At 42.4% G+C, this 13,864-nt stretch overlaps 1 protein-coding gene across 3 annotated transcripts in view, besides 8 other annotated features; it reads left to right on the top strand.

Annotated features, from left to right (window-relative positions):
• Window positions 1–13,864, top strand: part of ANO2 (anoctamin 2) — a 383,578-nt gene that overhangs the window by 297,620 nt on the left and 72,094 nt on the right. For all 3 annotated transcript variants that reach the window (NM_001278597.3, NM_001364791.2, NM_001278596.3), the window contains 2 exons: window positions 812–886; window positions 13,266–13,461. In NM_001278597.3, coding sequence (NP_001265526.1) covers window positions 812–886; window positions 13,266–13,461 — 271 coding nt within the window. The remainder of the gene's footprint in view (window positions 1–811; window positions 887–13,265; window positions 13,462–13,864) is intronic.
• Window positions 6,816–9,497: a meiotic recombination region, noted in NCBI's record as "meiotic double-strand break mapped by DNA meiotic recombinase 1 chromatin immunoprecipitation followed by single-stranded DNA enrichment and sequencing in the germ cells of some male individuals with the PRDM9 A/A, PRDM9 A/B and PRDM9 A/C genotypes". NCBI's record gives the evidence for it as "EXISTENCE:chromatin immunoprecipitation-seq evidence [ECO:0000229][PMID:25395542]".
• Window positions 6,816–9,768: a biological region, named in NCBI's record as "meiotic recombination hotspot F".
• Window positions 6,894–9,768: a meiotic recombination region, noted in NCBI's record as "this region was identified as a recombination hotspot within the HapMap YRI population". NCBI's record gives the evidence for it as "EXISTENCE:nucleotide sequencing assay evidence [ECO:0000219][PMID:20981099]".
• Window positions 6,993–7,008: a nucleotide motif, noted in NCBI's record as "nucleotide motif; similarity to the predicted 16-mer PRDM9 C-type binding motif, CCNCNNTNNNCNTNNC".
• Window positions 7,610–9,009: a meiotic recombination region, noted in NCBI's record as "crossovers mapped in sperm cells of males of European and African ancestries; recombination frequencies vary with PRDM9 genotypes, with PRDM9 A/A >> PRDM9 A/N, where N is a non-PRDM9 A allele. Low recombination frequencies are observed with some PRDM9 alleles.". NCBI's record gives the evidence for it as "EXISTENCE:DNA detection assay evidence [ECO:0005519][PMID:18650392, PMID:20818382]".
• Window positions 8,249–8,261: a nucleotide motif, noted in NCBI's record as "nucleotide motif; sequence similarity to the predicted 13-mer linkage disequilibrium (LD) hotspot motif CCNCCNTNNCCNC". NCBI's record gives the evidence for it as "COORDINATES:motif similarity evidence [ECO:0000028][PMID:18650392, PMID:19165926]".
• Window positions 8,417–9,531: a meiotic recombination region, noted in NCBI's record as "this region was identified as a recombination hotspot within the HapMap CEU population". NCBI's record gives the evidence for it as "EXISTENCE:nucleotide sequencing assay evidence [ECO:0000219][PMID:20981099]".
• Window positions 9,441–9,456: a nucleotide motif, noted in NCBI's record as "nucleotide motif; similarity to the predicted 16-mer PRDM9 C-type binding motif, CCNCNNTNNNCNTNNC".

Genomic DNA, 13,864 nt, shown 5'->3' with positions numbered 1-13,864 from the left:
GAGCTGTTTACCATTCATAGCTGTTGGCAGCCCCTCCCCTGTCCCCCACCAAATGACGGTCCTCAGAGCACGCTGAAGGAGGACTCTGGTTACTGATAACGATTGTCGCAGGATAATGGCCTGGGTGAACTGGACCCAGTCCGAGGGGAAAAGGGTAGGATTCTCAGCCAAGTTGATTGAATGGATCAGCTTAACCTGTGCCTCAAAATGTTTGGATTTGTGACGAGGGGGAGCACATAATACTACATGTAGCCTCTTTGAGGAACAAAATTGTGGGTAATTTGCACAACGATTAGGCTCTGAGATCAGTGGTTGGTATTTTATTTAGCAGATAATCTATTTATAGGATGCTGCCCTGTGGTTGGGTCGTATCTGTCATTTGTCCACTGCTTTACTATATTCACATGGTTCTCACTCAAACAAAACAAAGAAAACTGTCCTGTGTAGTAGGCAGGGCAGGTATCACTACCGTGCCCAATTTACAGATGAAAAAATAAATGTCAGAAATGTTAATAAGAGACATATCTAGGATCACACAGCTGATAAGTGGTTGAACTAGAAATTCAGCCCCGTGTGAGGCTGAAATCAAATCTTGTTTTTTCACTGTAGTTTTTCCAGGCTATGCCAACTTATCTAGAAATTACAAAATTAGAAGGGCAGTTGTTGATATGGAGAGTAAGGCATCAGTGACTAGAAATATATCTATATAGAGTGATAATGATCAATCGCATGCAAATATATGCAAATGAGAGCAAATTAATATCTGTTATTTGTGCCTCCTGATTGTCTCTACTCTCCCGTTTCTCCCCAGGATGATGAAGATAAACTGACCTGGAAGGATCGTTTCCCAGGTTACCTGATGAACTTTGCCTCCATCTTATTCATGGTAATTTCCTTGAGGGACCACTTGCCTGTGACTGCATGCATGTAGATGCTGTTATGTGACTACTGTGGGTATTATATTCTGCTATGGAAATAATGAGAGGCTGGTAAAGGGGAAGCCACAGTCCTGTGTAGAGGGGCAGGATCTTGTCTGATAGTGAGGCCATTGACCACCCATGCTAGAATTTGGAACTTCCAGGGAGTGGGTTGCGAGATGGTGCTTCTGCATGGAGACAGACCAAAAACTTGGAGAAGGAATCAGGTAAGATGGCTGCAATTGCAGCAGCCTGTTTGGGCTGTGGGGTGGCCCTCTCTGACGTTTGTGGATAGACCAGGGTCTGGAAGCCACAGGAGATAGCCAGCTTGGGCTCGGTAAGTGTGATCCTTCCGCTTTCCTGTAGTTGCTGGGTTTATTTCCTTGCGCTTTACCTTAGAGTTTGGTACAGCCCTTCTGCAAGACCCAGACGGTCTCAGCTGCGTCAGGGAAAGCTCAGGGAAAACCCTGTGATTCGTATTTGACTTAGATCAATAAAGTGGTAGCAGTTCATTCTTCGTTGCCAGCATGGGCAAGACAGCAGTATCTGAAGCTAGAGGACCTTGGGGAAGGCAAAAATCAGAGGACTAAGTTAGGGTTACTAATACCCCATATCTCTTTATGGAAATCTTCCTTACAGTATTCAAGATTGGAGGTTCTGCTTTACAAAGGAGTGTGTGTACTCACAGCTCAGAGCATTTCTAAGTAGGGCTACACATTAGTTGCAGGGTGGAAGAGGGATCACTTATTCCAAAAATTGGTCTGGAAATTGTTGTAACTCTGACTCTGGCCTGAGGTTACCACTACCATTATTTTTGCCATCGTGACCGTTAACTACAGGAATTGTGTTTTCGTCTCAGAAATTTAAAAGGTGAAGGAAACTTAGATATCACCAATTCAACTCCTCATTTTTCAGATGAAGTACAGAGTTGATGGGTGCCTTGCCAAAGTTTAGAAGTCTAAATTTGTTTTCTTCTCATTGCTTAACAAGTGCAAGCCATGTGGAATTTATTCAAGAGGATGTGGTGAGTTGCCGTGTGTTAAGCTGCAATGATAGAAAGTTTAATTTAGCACTTCAAAGCCCCCCGCAATATGCATATTATTGTTAAAGAGTTTATTCATTCATTCAATATTTAATGAGTCAAACGATGTGCTTGACACCATGCTTAGACACTGGGGATACAGCAGAAAACAAAACAAAATAATCCCTCTCTTAAAAAATTTGCAGACAATAAATGAGTAAATAAATAATAAAAAATAGGTAAAAATAAACTTCTATCTCCAGTAGTAGTAGGTTAGGATATTTGTAACATCCCATTTTGCTAAAATTTATTTTAAAAAATTGGATAAATGTATTTTTCAATCTTCTCAAAGCCTCGAAGGGCTGACAGGATAGGAAGTAATACCAGGCTAAAATCTAAAGGAAAATGGGAACCAAAGAAACAAATACCTGGGCACTAGAGCTGCTTTTACCTTGAGAACATTTTCCCATCTCGGCAAACCTAGGCTTTGGTTTTGGTGGTTTTATGGGAGCAGGGAGGATAGAAATTAGGGTTGATGGATGGCCCCAAATGGGGATTGTAACAGGATGTCCTCACCAAATTAAATCAGAACTCCAAAGGGCTATGTTCAGAGTAAAGATGAAACTGAACTATACACACCCTTTCCCACTTATGAGACTGCAGAAAAAACTTGTTATGGATCTAAGCAGAAAAGGGAGAAAAGGGGAAACAAAATCCTGTGCTTAAGAAGTGGCCAGGGGCAATCCCTACTGTGGCTTTCTATCCTGGGTCACCACATAAGAGGATCAGGGAACCTCAGGTTGTGAACTTAACCTAACACTAGTAGGGCTCCCAGGTGCTCAGCAGAAGCAAATACAACCTCTCTCTGTAGGGAAGCATATTTATGCCAGGCCTCAAAAAATCACCCAAAAGAATTTTTCAAGGGCAATAAAGAGAACACAGTCAAAAACAACTAATTACTCAAGAAGTTGAAGCACCATATGAAAGAACCAGTGGGAACAGACAGCAAAGACCAGAGATATTGAAAATATCAGTCACAGGTTAAAACAGCAACCTTAAAAATATACACAAAGAATAAGAAACTATTTTGAAAATTATCTAGCAGATAATGAAAACTAACCAATAAACCTCTATCTGCTAGAAATAAATATATATAGAAATTAACAAAAATATTATTGTTATATATATGATTTTTATATGCCATGTATATATGTGTATATATATGTGTACACACACACACACACACATTCACACACACACGACCATGGATAGATTTGTTTTTTCTTGAGACGGAGTCTGATTCTGTCACCCAGGCTGGAGTGCAGTGGTACAATCTTGGCTCACTGCAACCTCCGCCCCCCGGGTTCAAGCGATTCTCCTGCCTCAACCATGGATAGACTTAACAACAAATTAGACAAAGCTGAAGAGAGAATTTGTAAACTGCAATACAGGCTGGAATAAATTATCCGTAATACAGCATAGCGATAAAAAAGATTGGCAATATGGAAAACAGGTTGAAAGAGAACAGGTAATGAGGGAGATATAAGGACTGGTGGTTTCCTAATTTGATGCAGTACACCAATCCATAGATTGAAGAATCCTAGTGAAACCCAGGCAGAAAAAGTAAAAATAAATCTGCATCTAGATGCATCATAGTGAAATTATAGAGTATATAAGGCACAAGAAAAGTCTCAAAAGCAGCCTTAAATCCAAAGGCAAATTACCTTCAATGGAAAGACACCTGGACTTACAACTGATATTTTATAGCACATTGGAAGTCAGAATACAATGAAATGCCCTCTTCACGTGCTGAAAACAAAACAATTTCTAACTAAGAATTCTATGCCCAAGAAAAATATCATGTAGTGATAAGGATAAAATAAAGATATTTATAGACAAATAGAAACTGAGAGTTTGCTATCAACCGAATCTCTCATTAAAAGAAATTCTAAGAATGTACCTTGGATGTGATCCCATATGGAAGACCATGGTTTTAGAAAGGAATGAAGAACTTTTAAAGTGGTAAATATGTGAGAAAACCTATATGAACCTTGACTGTGAAAATAATAATGCCAATTCTCATGAGGTTAAAAAAGATAGAACTAAAATATATGCAACAATACTATGTAAGTTGGGTGGACAATAAATAGAACAATAATGTTCTAAGGTCTTTAGATTGTCCAGTCGATAAACTGATTTTAAGATTTATGTGGAAGCACAAAGGCTAAGAATAGTCAAGAAACTCTTGAAGGATGGATATGTTACTCTAATTATAAAACTACAATGAGTAAGATAATGTTACATTCTTGTGAGAAGAGATGATGAGACCAATGGAACAAAATAGAAAACCAAGAACCAGATTAATGCAAGTGGCACTGCATATAAGTGGGGAAAAGAATGAACTTCTCAGTAAGTGCTTCTGGGACAGCTGGGTGTCCAAACAGAAGAAAATAAAACTGGGCCTTGTTCACACCACTCAAAAACATCAATTTTAGGTGTATTTTAAAGAGGGACTGTGAAAGGCAAAACAATCGAGTTTTTAAATATATAAGAAAAAAATATTTTCATGACCTTGGGGTAGGGAAGAATTTCTTGAGCAAGATACAAAAAGCACAACCATAATAAAATGCTGGTAAATTTGACTATATTAGAATTAAGAATTTAAGTTCATAAAATACCTAATAAACTCTGTGAGAAGACAAATTATCAGAATGGGATAATATATTTGCAACAACTATAACTCTCAAAGAATTTTTCTTAACATATATAAAGAATTAAAAAACATGGAAAACAGTAATTCAGTACAAAATAGGAAAAAGATGAATATGTACTTCACAAAAGAGGGAATCCAAATGGCCAATGAGCCTATAAAATGGTACCCAATCTCATTAGTAATCCTGGAAATTCTAATTTAAACCACAATGAGATACCATATATGCCCAAAAGTCTGTCAGTAACAAGTGTTGGAAAAGATATAGATCAAAAGAGCATCTTAAACTCTACTATAGGGAGTATAAGTTGAAAAAACAAAAACACTTTGGATATAGTTTGGCATTATCTAGTGAAACTGAAAGTACATATATCCTGGGGCCCAGAAATTCTACTCCTGGATATCTGTCTTAGAAAAACTTGTGTACATGAGCAGCAAAATACGTGTACAAGAACGTCTATGGAAGCCCTGCTTATAATAACTCAACCTGGAAACAGTCCAAATGCCTGTCACCACCAGAATGGATACATAAATTGAGGCATATTCATACAATTAAATACTACACAGTCATGAAAATGAGCAAACTAATAGCTATGTATAACATCAAGGGTGAAAAAAACAAGATGAAAGAATATATACAGTTTGATTCTACTCATAGAGAGTTCAGAGACAATACTCAACTATATTGTTTAAGGATGCATACCTCTGTGTTAAAACTATCAAATGAGCAAGAGAATGATTATCATAAAATTCTGCACAGTGGTTGGATCCAAAGGAGCAGCAGGGATGGGAGATCATGTATGTGTACGGGGGAGAAGGGAATTCAGAGCTGCTGGCAGTGCTGGTCTGGGCTATATTGGTGTTTGTTTTATTCATTGTGTGTGTGTGTGTGTGTGTGTGTAAAATGGATTTTTCTGCATGTTCACAATAAAATTTAAAAAGACACAAAATACATATATTAAATAGGTTGGTCAGGTAAGTTCTCATTAAGATGACATTTTATCAAGGATCTGGAGGAGGTGGAGGAGCCAGCCACATGGATATTCTAGGGGAAACATTCTGGGCAGAGGAAACAGCAAGAGAAAAAGCCCAAGGGGAGCAATGCCTGGCATCAGGAGGGACAGCAGGAAAGAGCCACAGTGTGGCTGGAGCTGAGCACTCTGCAGCGGGGAGTGCACAGGGAGACACAGTGAGAGAAGTAACGAGGAGCCCTGTAGGTAGGGCCCTGGAGACCACAGTAAGGACATGGGCTAATTCTATGTGAGATGAGAACACCTAATAGGAGGTCTTGCAAGGAGTGACATGACCTGACATACATTTCAAAAGGATCATTCTGGCTGCTGGGGTGAGAAAATGCTGGTAGAAAGGCAAGGGTGGGAAGAGGGACATCAAGTAGGAATCTGTTGTGATAATGCAAGAAGTGCGGTGGCCTGGGCAGGGTGAGATTGAAGAGTGTTCAGATGCTAGTTCTATTTTGAAGGTGGACTGAAAGAATTTGATCATGTGGTACAAAACTGAAAAGAAATCAAGAATGACTCTAAGGCTTTTATCCTGAGCAGCCCAAAATCTGCCAGTTATTCCTTAACTCAGTTGCCCTCCTGATGCATATGAGTCTGGAGTTCAGGGAAGACGTCCAGGCTGGAGACCTAATCACTATAGAAGGCATTTAAAGCTATAAGATTGCATGAGATCACCAAGAGAATGAGAGTAGATAGAGAAAATTTCCAAGGACCAAGTCCCGGGACACTGCTATGCTGAAGTTTGGGAGCATGAGGAGGAGACAGAAAAGAGAATTGAAAAGGGATAGGGGAGAATAGAGAGTCCCAGAAGTCAAGAAAGCATTTCAAAGGGGCAGGACAATCAATTGTATTAGATGCCACTGATAAGTCAGGCAAGGAGAGGACTGAAACTAGGAGCTTGTCTGCTGCCTGAGAGAAAAATCTGTGTCATCATCAATGTCATCATCATCATCATCAACAACAAATAGATCACTGGACCACCATTCAACAAATACTAAAAACTGGGTCAATGGTGGGTCATCTTGCCAAAGTTCTAAGTTTTTTCTTTTTTTAAAATTCCATTGATACCTCCTAAAGCTAGACTGGAAAGTGGGAATATTTTTATTGTTCACAAATAATACATAATTATCTCTCCTTTGTAAAATCTTCCCTTTCCCAGCCCCACCCAACTCCAAATCTTGATATAAATGCAAGATTCTGTATCAGAACCAATAACTAATTGAGAATCTCACTATGCCTGGGGTCCCACAACTGCCACCAGCAAGTTCCGGGAACTGAACCATGTGGGCAGGAGCTGGGAGCAGAGTGGTGGGAATGGGGAGAGCCCCCTTTACACATCACCCTTCACAGTCAGGTGCTCAAGCTCGTCCAGGCTTAAGCTTCCAGACCAGGGAGAATTATTAATAGCACTTCTTCTTTACTCTCAAAAGTATTCCAGATTGGACAATACATTATATTGTTTCCTGCCTATTTGATTTTTTAAAATCCTTATTTGGCACTAACTTGTCCCCGTTTCTTTTTCCCACTTAAAAAAAAGCCCAGTTTTCTTTATTTTTTAATTTTTAATTTTTTGTTATGCATTAAGTTCTAGGGTACATGTGCACAATGTGCAGGTTTGCTACCTAGGTATACATGTGCCATGTTGCTTTGCTGCACCCATTAACTTGTCATTTACATTAGGTATTTCTCCTAATGCTATCCCTCCCCCTGCCCCCCACCCCCTGACAGGCCCCAATGTGTGATGTTCCTCGCCCTGTGTCCAAGTGTTCTCATTGTTCAGTTCCAACCTATGAGTGAGAACATGTGGTGTTTGGTTTTCTGCCCTTGTGATAGTTTGCTCAGAATGATGGTTTCCAGCTGCATCCGTGTCCCTGCAAAGAACATGAACTCATCCATTTTTATGGCTGCATAGTATTCCATGGTGTATATGTGCCACATTTTCTTAATCCAGTCTATCACTGATGGACATTTGGGTTGGTTCCAAGTCTTTGCTGTTGTGAATAGTGCTGCAATAAACATATGTGTGCATGTGTCTTTATAGTAGATTGATTTATAATCCTTTGGGTATGTACCCAGTAGTGGGATCACTAGGTCAAATGGTATTTCTAGTTCTAGATCCTTGAGGAATCGCCACACTGTCTTCCACAATCGTTGAACTAGTTCACGCTCCCACCAACAGTGTAAAAGTGTTCCTATTTCTCCGCATCCTCTCCAGCATCTGTTGTTTCCTGACTTTTAATGATTGCCATTCTAACTGGTGTGGGATGGTATCTCATTGTGGTTTTGATTTGCATTTCTCTGATGACCAGTGATGATGAGCATTTTTTCATGTGTCTGTTGGCTGCATAAATGTCTTCTTTTGAGAAGTGTCTGTTCATATCCTTTGCACCCTTTTTGATGGGGTTGTTTTTTTCTTGTAAATTTGTTTAAGTTCTTTGTAGATTCAGGATATTAGCCCTTTGTCAGATGGGCAGATTGCAAAAATTTCCTCCCATTCTGTAGGTTGCCTGTTCACTCTGATGTTTTCTAAAGAAAAAGGACTTAGCATTACCCTAGAACAAGGTGTGGAGCATGAGATGAAGGGGTCAGGGTGGTGCTTAGAAGGAAGTAACTTTCTGTGATAAAGTTCGGGTAAGCCAAAGACACCTACCGTATCTCTCATCTCATTCCTTTCTTCACCCCTGTGCTTGAACCTAGGCAGAAGATGCCAGGACCATGGGCATTAGGAAGGTTTCAGGCATGCCAATCTACCGAGTCAGTTGGGAATGCTTTTCATGGGGTGATGAGAGCAAAGAAATGCCCCAGTGCTATTTCATCTGCCTCCTTGTGTTAGAAACCAGCATGGACAAAGACGAATTTCCTCTCCGCCAATCCTGTGTGTTCAGCTAAAGTTTCCTTTTTGAATGGTCCCTCCTGTTTTCTTCTTGTAAGGGGGGAATTGTCGGAGGCGATGTCCCTCCTCTAGAGCTAGGTGCCTGAGCTTTCCTCCTGTGCCCCAGATACTCATTTTCTTACACTTGGATATTGGGAGTCCACCATCAGAAATCCTCCTCCACAGCCTGGACTCTCATCATAGCCCCTTCACTGATCTCCCTATTTGCACACTGCCCCTGACAGATCATCAGCATGCTAACTTTTAAAACCTAAACCAACTCACATCACTCCTCTGCTCAGAACTCTCTGATGGCTTCCCATCTCCTGAGGTGTGGAAGCCCACATCCTCACACTACAGGGCCCCCTCCTGGCTGCCTGCCCATCTCCCACTCCACCTGTCCCCTTGCTCACTCAGTGTCAGCCACTGCCTGCCTGAAACACCCTTCCCTTAAATCCTTCCTTTAGGTATTTGGTAAAAGGTCACTTTCTCAGCTGTCTCTTTCCCAACCACCCTATTTTAAATTGCAACCGATCCCTATACCCTGTTTGCCTTCTTTGTCTCCACGGTATTTCTCGTGCTGAAGGTACTACTTATTTTACCTATTTATTAGTTTATTGTCTATGTTTTCCCACTAGAAGATCCACTCTGTGAGGGTAGTGCTTTCTGTTTCCTTTTTCCACTGGAACCTAGAACTGAGACTGGCACAAGGAGGAGCTTAAGACACATTTTATGAATGACTGAATGGGTAAATAAACTAGGTGGAGGTCATAGGCAGCGTACTATGTCGATGATGAAGTTGCTAGTGTGTGCGCGTGCCTGTATTTTTATACTTGAGCTACTATCGTGTGCCATGCTGGGGATCAGCAGAGGTTACTTGTGCCTTGTGCATTGCTACTTGCCCCTCTTCCCTTTTCTGGAAAGTTCTTCCTTCTTATTCTTTCCTCTAAGTCTTTCCCATAGGAAACTGTCCCAAAACTTTTTTCTGTGGAGTTTTCTCTGACTAATCCCCCTGCTCTCTGCTAAGAGCATACCAGAAGCTCGTGAACGGAGGCCTGTGACTCCATCCAGCTGCTACTAGGATCATCTTTGTTGTATGTGTGCAATGATTTTCTCAACTTTGCTTCAGAATGCAAGTTCCGGAGGGTGGCGAAGAGGTCTTCTCTCTTACCTGTCTCTCTCTTGGCGTCAAGTAGGACTCTGGACTCTGTAGCCTGGCTTATGTTGCATTTTGTTTATGTCCCAGAAGTAAAGTTATGATATTAAAACACCAAAAGCAACAGGAACCATAATAAAATGACCATGTGCCAGGCAGCCAGATCCCCTAGAGCTGCTGACCAGCGAATCTTTACCAAACCAGTTCTACGGGAGGCGCTGCTGTGAAGTGGCTTAAGGCACAGAATGTGGTAAAAGACAAACCTCCTTTTGACCTAGTTGGAAGAGATTGACCACAAACATGGAATATACCCAGTGCAGTGGGTCGCACAATAAGCGGCCAGAAAATACGTATTGAACTTAATAAAGAAAATCAATAATGTGGGCCGGCCATGGTGGCTCACGCCTGTAATCCCAGCACTTTGGGAGGCCGAGGTGGGCAGATCGTGAGGTCAGGAGATCGAGACCATCCTGGCTAACATGATGAAACCCTGTCTCTACTAAAAATACAAAAAATTAGCCAGGAGTGGTGGCAGGTGCCTGTAGCCCCAGCTACTTGGGAGGCTGAAGCAGGAGAATGGCGTGAACCCAGGAGGCGGAGCTTGCAGTGAGCCCAGATCGCACCACTGCACTCCAACCTGGGTGACGGAGTGAGACTCCGTCTCAAAAAAAAAAAAAAAAGGAAAAGAAACAGTGCTAGTGAAGATATGCATCGAATAAAGACATCTAGAAGGCACAAATGGTTCAGCTGGTATTGATGATGTTATCACCATTAACATCTCAGCTCTACCGTATACCCTCCAGACCTTGGATCAATCACATTGTTGCCTCTTGGGCTTCAGTTTCCTTATGTATGAGACTAAAGACTGTACATAGATGATTCCTAAATGCTAAGATTTTAAAATTTCTACCATGATCCAGAAGAGTAGCATTGTAGTCCACACCTTGTGGACTTCAGCAAATTGCATCACTTTTCCATGCCCGTTTCTTCATCTCCAAAATGGTCACGTGACTGGGTTGGTACTCTGCAAGTTCCTGCAGCTCGAAAGCTCTGTGAATCTTGAGATGCTCTGGGAAACACCAAACGAGAGGTTCAGAGCTTGATTTCTATAGTGGGATAGGAAATTAAGACCAGAGAAGGTAAACCTGCAAAGAACCAGAGAGCTGAAGTGAGGTGTGCCAGGGGTGGGGCTAGGGAGGAAAGGAGGGTGGGAAAGAAGGCTTTTCTAGATAAGGAGAACAGTGCTCCTTGAATTTGAAAAAGAATTCTGTTACAATGCAGGTTCCAGGTCAGTAGGTCTGGAGTTGTGCTTGAGATTCCGCATTTCAATCAAGCTTCCAGCTGATGCAGCTGGTCCTTGGACCACATTTTTGAGTAGCAAAGAGTGTTCTTCCTTCTCTAGTTTAGCAGCTGGGCCTCTTAGAGAAGAACAGAAGCTGATCTCCCCACGTCTTCCTTCATGTCCCTCCCACAAGACCCTAAACAAAGGATGTTTTTGCCATTGTTTTTTTTCCCCTAGTCCGTCTCCCAATCCCAACCCCAAATACACACACACGTACACACACACACACACACACATTCACTCACTCCTCAATACCCTCACCTCCCCAGCCTCATCAATACTTTCATCACTGGTCTTCACTGCAAAAGTGATTTTTGGGGAAAAGAATCTCACACCACATTTTCTAGGCCCTTACTATCTGGCAGTGACAATCCCAGAGAAATGGGAAGTGAAAATGTCTACATTGTTGGAGAGGGGTGATGTCATGTCCAGGTTTTCCCAGTTACACGATAGTAGTCCCTACTTAGTCCTGGAGGCTGGTGTTTCTGCCGCTCCCCACCCCCACCCTGCAGCAGAAGAGGGGCCTCACACAGAGTGTTTTTCCCATCTAACCTCTCCTCTCCCCACACCCACACACACCCAAACACACACAGCCTTCCTCTACCCAGAGAACGCCACCTTTCTCCCTTCCTTACCAAGGGCTTCTTTTTCACAACACGGCCCATAGGGCAATTACTGGTATTTTTTGAAGCCTACCAGGATAAAGAGCTGAGTCTGCCACCAGCACACCCCAGGTACCCCCCAGAGGTCTGAAAACATCCATACCTGGACACATCTGCCACCCATTAGCAAGCCACTGGAGTGTCATTCACACTGCTTGCAAAGCACTGCCCAAGCCAGAGGCCCCCACTTCCCCTCCCCTTTCCTCCTGTGCCTCTCCTCCCCTCCTCTTACCCCCTCCTTCCTGCCTCCCTCCCTGTGCATGCGTGTGTGTGTGTGTGTGTGTGTGTGTGTGTGTGTGTGTGTGTGTAGTCCAGCACAGCTTATTTTTTCAGGGAGCCTTCCACCTGCTGTTTTCTCTCCCTACGTTTTCTATTTAGTCCTTCATAGCCAGTGCCCATTCTCTGTCCTGCGGAGGAAATAGGACCTGAACAGCTTCCTTTACAGAAAGAGTCCTAAGAAGGAAGTCTTCTTTCTTGAAGAAGTCTTGACTTGACTGAAGCAAATTAGAATTTGCTCTGAGTGGGGCATGCACCTAGCAGTTGTCTCTCCTTCTTCTATCCCCTCTAAGAGGCTTTACTCAGGGCACTTGCTTCTCATAGCATCCTTGTGCTTCCTGGAAATGATCCTTCCTTGGTTGCGATGGGGACAGGAGGGGACGTGGGGACAGAAGAAGGAAGAGGGGCTGTTGGGCAGATCTAGGTCTAAGAGAGTCCCTTCTTATTCTTAGGTTCTAGAGAGAGGAAATGAGGGGAACCCTTAGAGGTCACGTGGCTATAACCCTCCTTTTGGAGCACAGCAGCTAGACATTTCTCTACCAAATGAGGAATCTGAGTCCTCCATTTCAAGTCACCTAGTAGAGAAATCTTACAGTGATATTTTGTTCATCTTGAGGACTGAGATTCCTAAAATCTCACTCCTGATGTATTCCCTCTTTTCTCCTTTGAGCAACCTTCTTGCCTCTACTTATCAAGCTGTAACTCATCCCTTCTCAGCTCAGGTACCTTCAATGGCTTTCTATTTCTTCTCATGAAAACTCCATTTTAAATCCCACTGTCTCCACAAACTATTCCCTGACCACTCAAATTTACTTTCTCCCGTGTACTTGGAGTTCCTTCAGCAATTATACTCCTCATTTAGCACTTAATACCTTCTTGGGCATTATTTACTATGGTTTATTTAAAAGGAGTTCATGTTATCTCTTTAGAAGATCAAAAGCTCCCTAATGAAAGAAATTGCGTCATGTGTGTTGAACACTCCACAGGGTCCAGCATGTTCATCCTTATTGTGTGTGTGTGTGTGTGTGTGTGTGTGTGATAAATCATTTGGAATCTGACAAAAATTAAGACATTCTCCCCTGGAAAATGCACCTCCACTCAGAACTCTGCCTAAAAATTTGTTACCCACCCAAATATTCCAGACTAATAATATCTGGAATCCCTTGTTACCCAACAAAAGATTCCAGATTAATAATATCTGATAACAGCAAATGGTACTGTTGGCAGAGCAAATAGTAGGTGCTCGGTAATTGCCGGCTGATGTGTACTTCTCTCTGTTTTCCCAAACAGATTGCCCTGACATTCTCAATCGTCTTTGGGGTGATAGTGTATCGAATAACAACTGCAGCCGCTCTGTCTCTCAATAAGGCTACACGCTCCAATGTCCGGGTGACAGTGACAGCAACAGCAGTCATCATCAACCTCGTGGTCATCCTCATCCTGGACGAGATCTACGGCGCTGTGGCCAAGTGGCTCACCAAAATTGGTACTGTGTCACCGAGACTTCTGGCTGTCCTAGGCCCTCTTTAAGTCAATGCGTGCAAGGCTTTTGGTGATAAAATAAAAAAAATGGGACAGGGACAGGATGCTTTGTACAGTGCATTTTAATTAGAGAAATGGGGAAGTGCAACGTGTGTGTATTTGTAGGGCTGTCAAAGGGCTTTCTCTAAAGGCGGGAATCCTTCCTGTAATGTTCTTGATCAAGTCCTCTGGCCTGTGTTGATTGCCTCATGTGACAGGGCACTCACTATCCCCTAAGGGTAAACCGTGGGGTCTGTTCTTTTTAGCCTAACCTGGGAAGCAAGGCAGACTCAAGACTTCCTGTTAAAAATTACAGAGCTTTAGCTCTCATTTTCCCAGCAGCATCTATAAAGTTGAGGAAAGCCTTT

Source organism: Homo sapiens, chromosome 12, assembly GCF_000001405.40.
Source record: "Homo sapiens chromosome 12, GRCh38.p14 Primary Assembly".
In the NCBI taxonomy this organism is placed as follows: domain Eukaryota; kingdom Metazoa; phylum Chordata; class Mammalia; order Primates; family Hominidae; genus Homo; species Homo sapiens.
The sequence above is the reverse complement of the archived record's forward strand: the minus strand, read 5'-3'. Positions and strand labels throughout refer to the sequence as shown.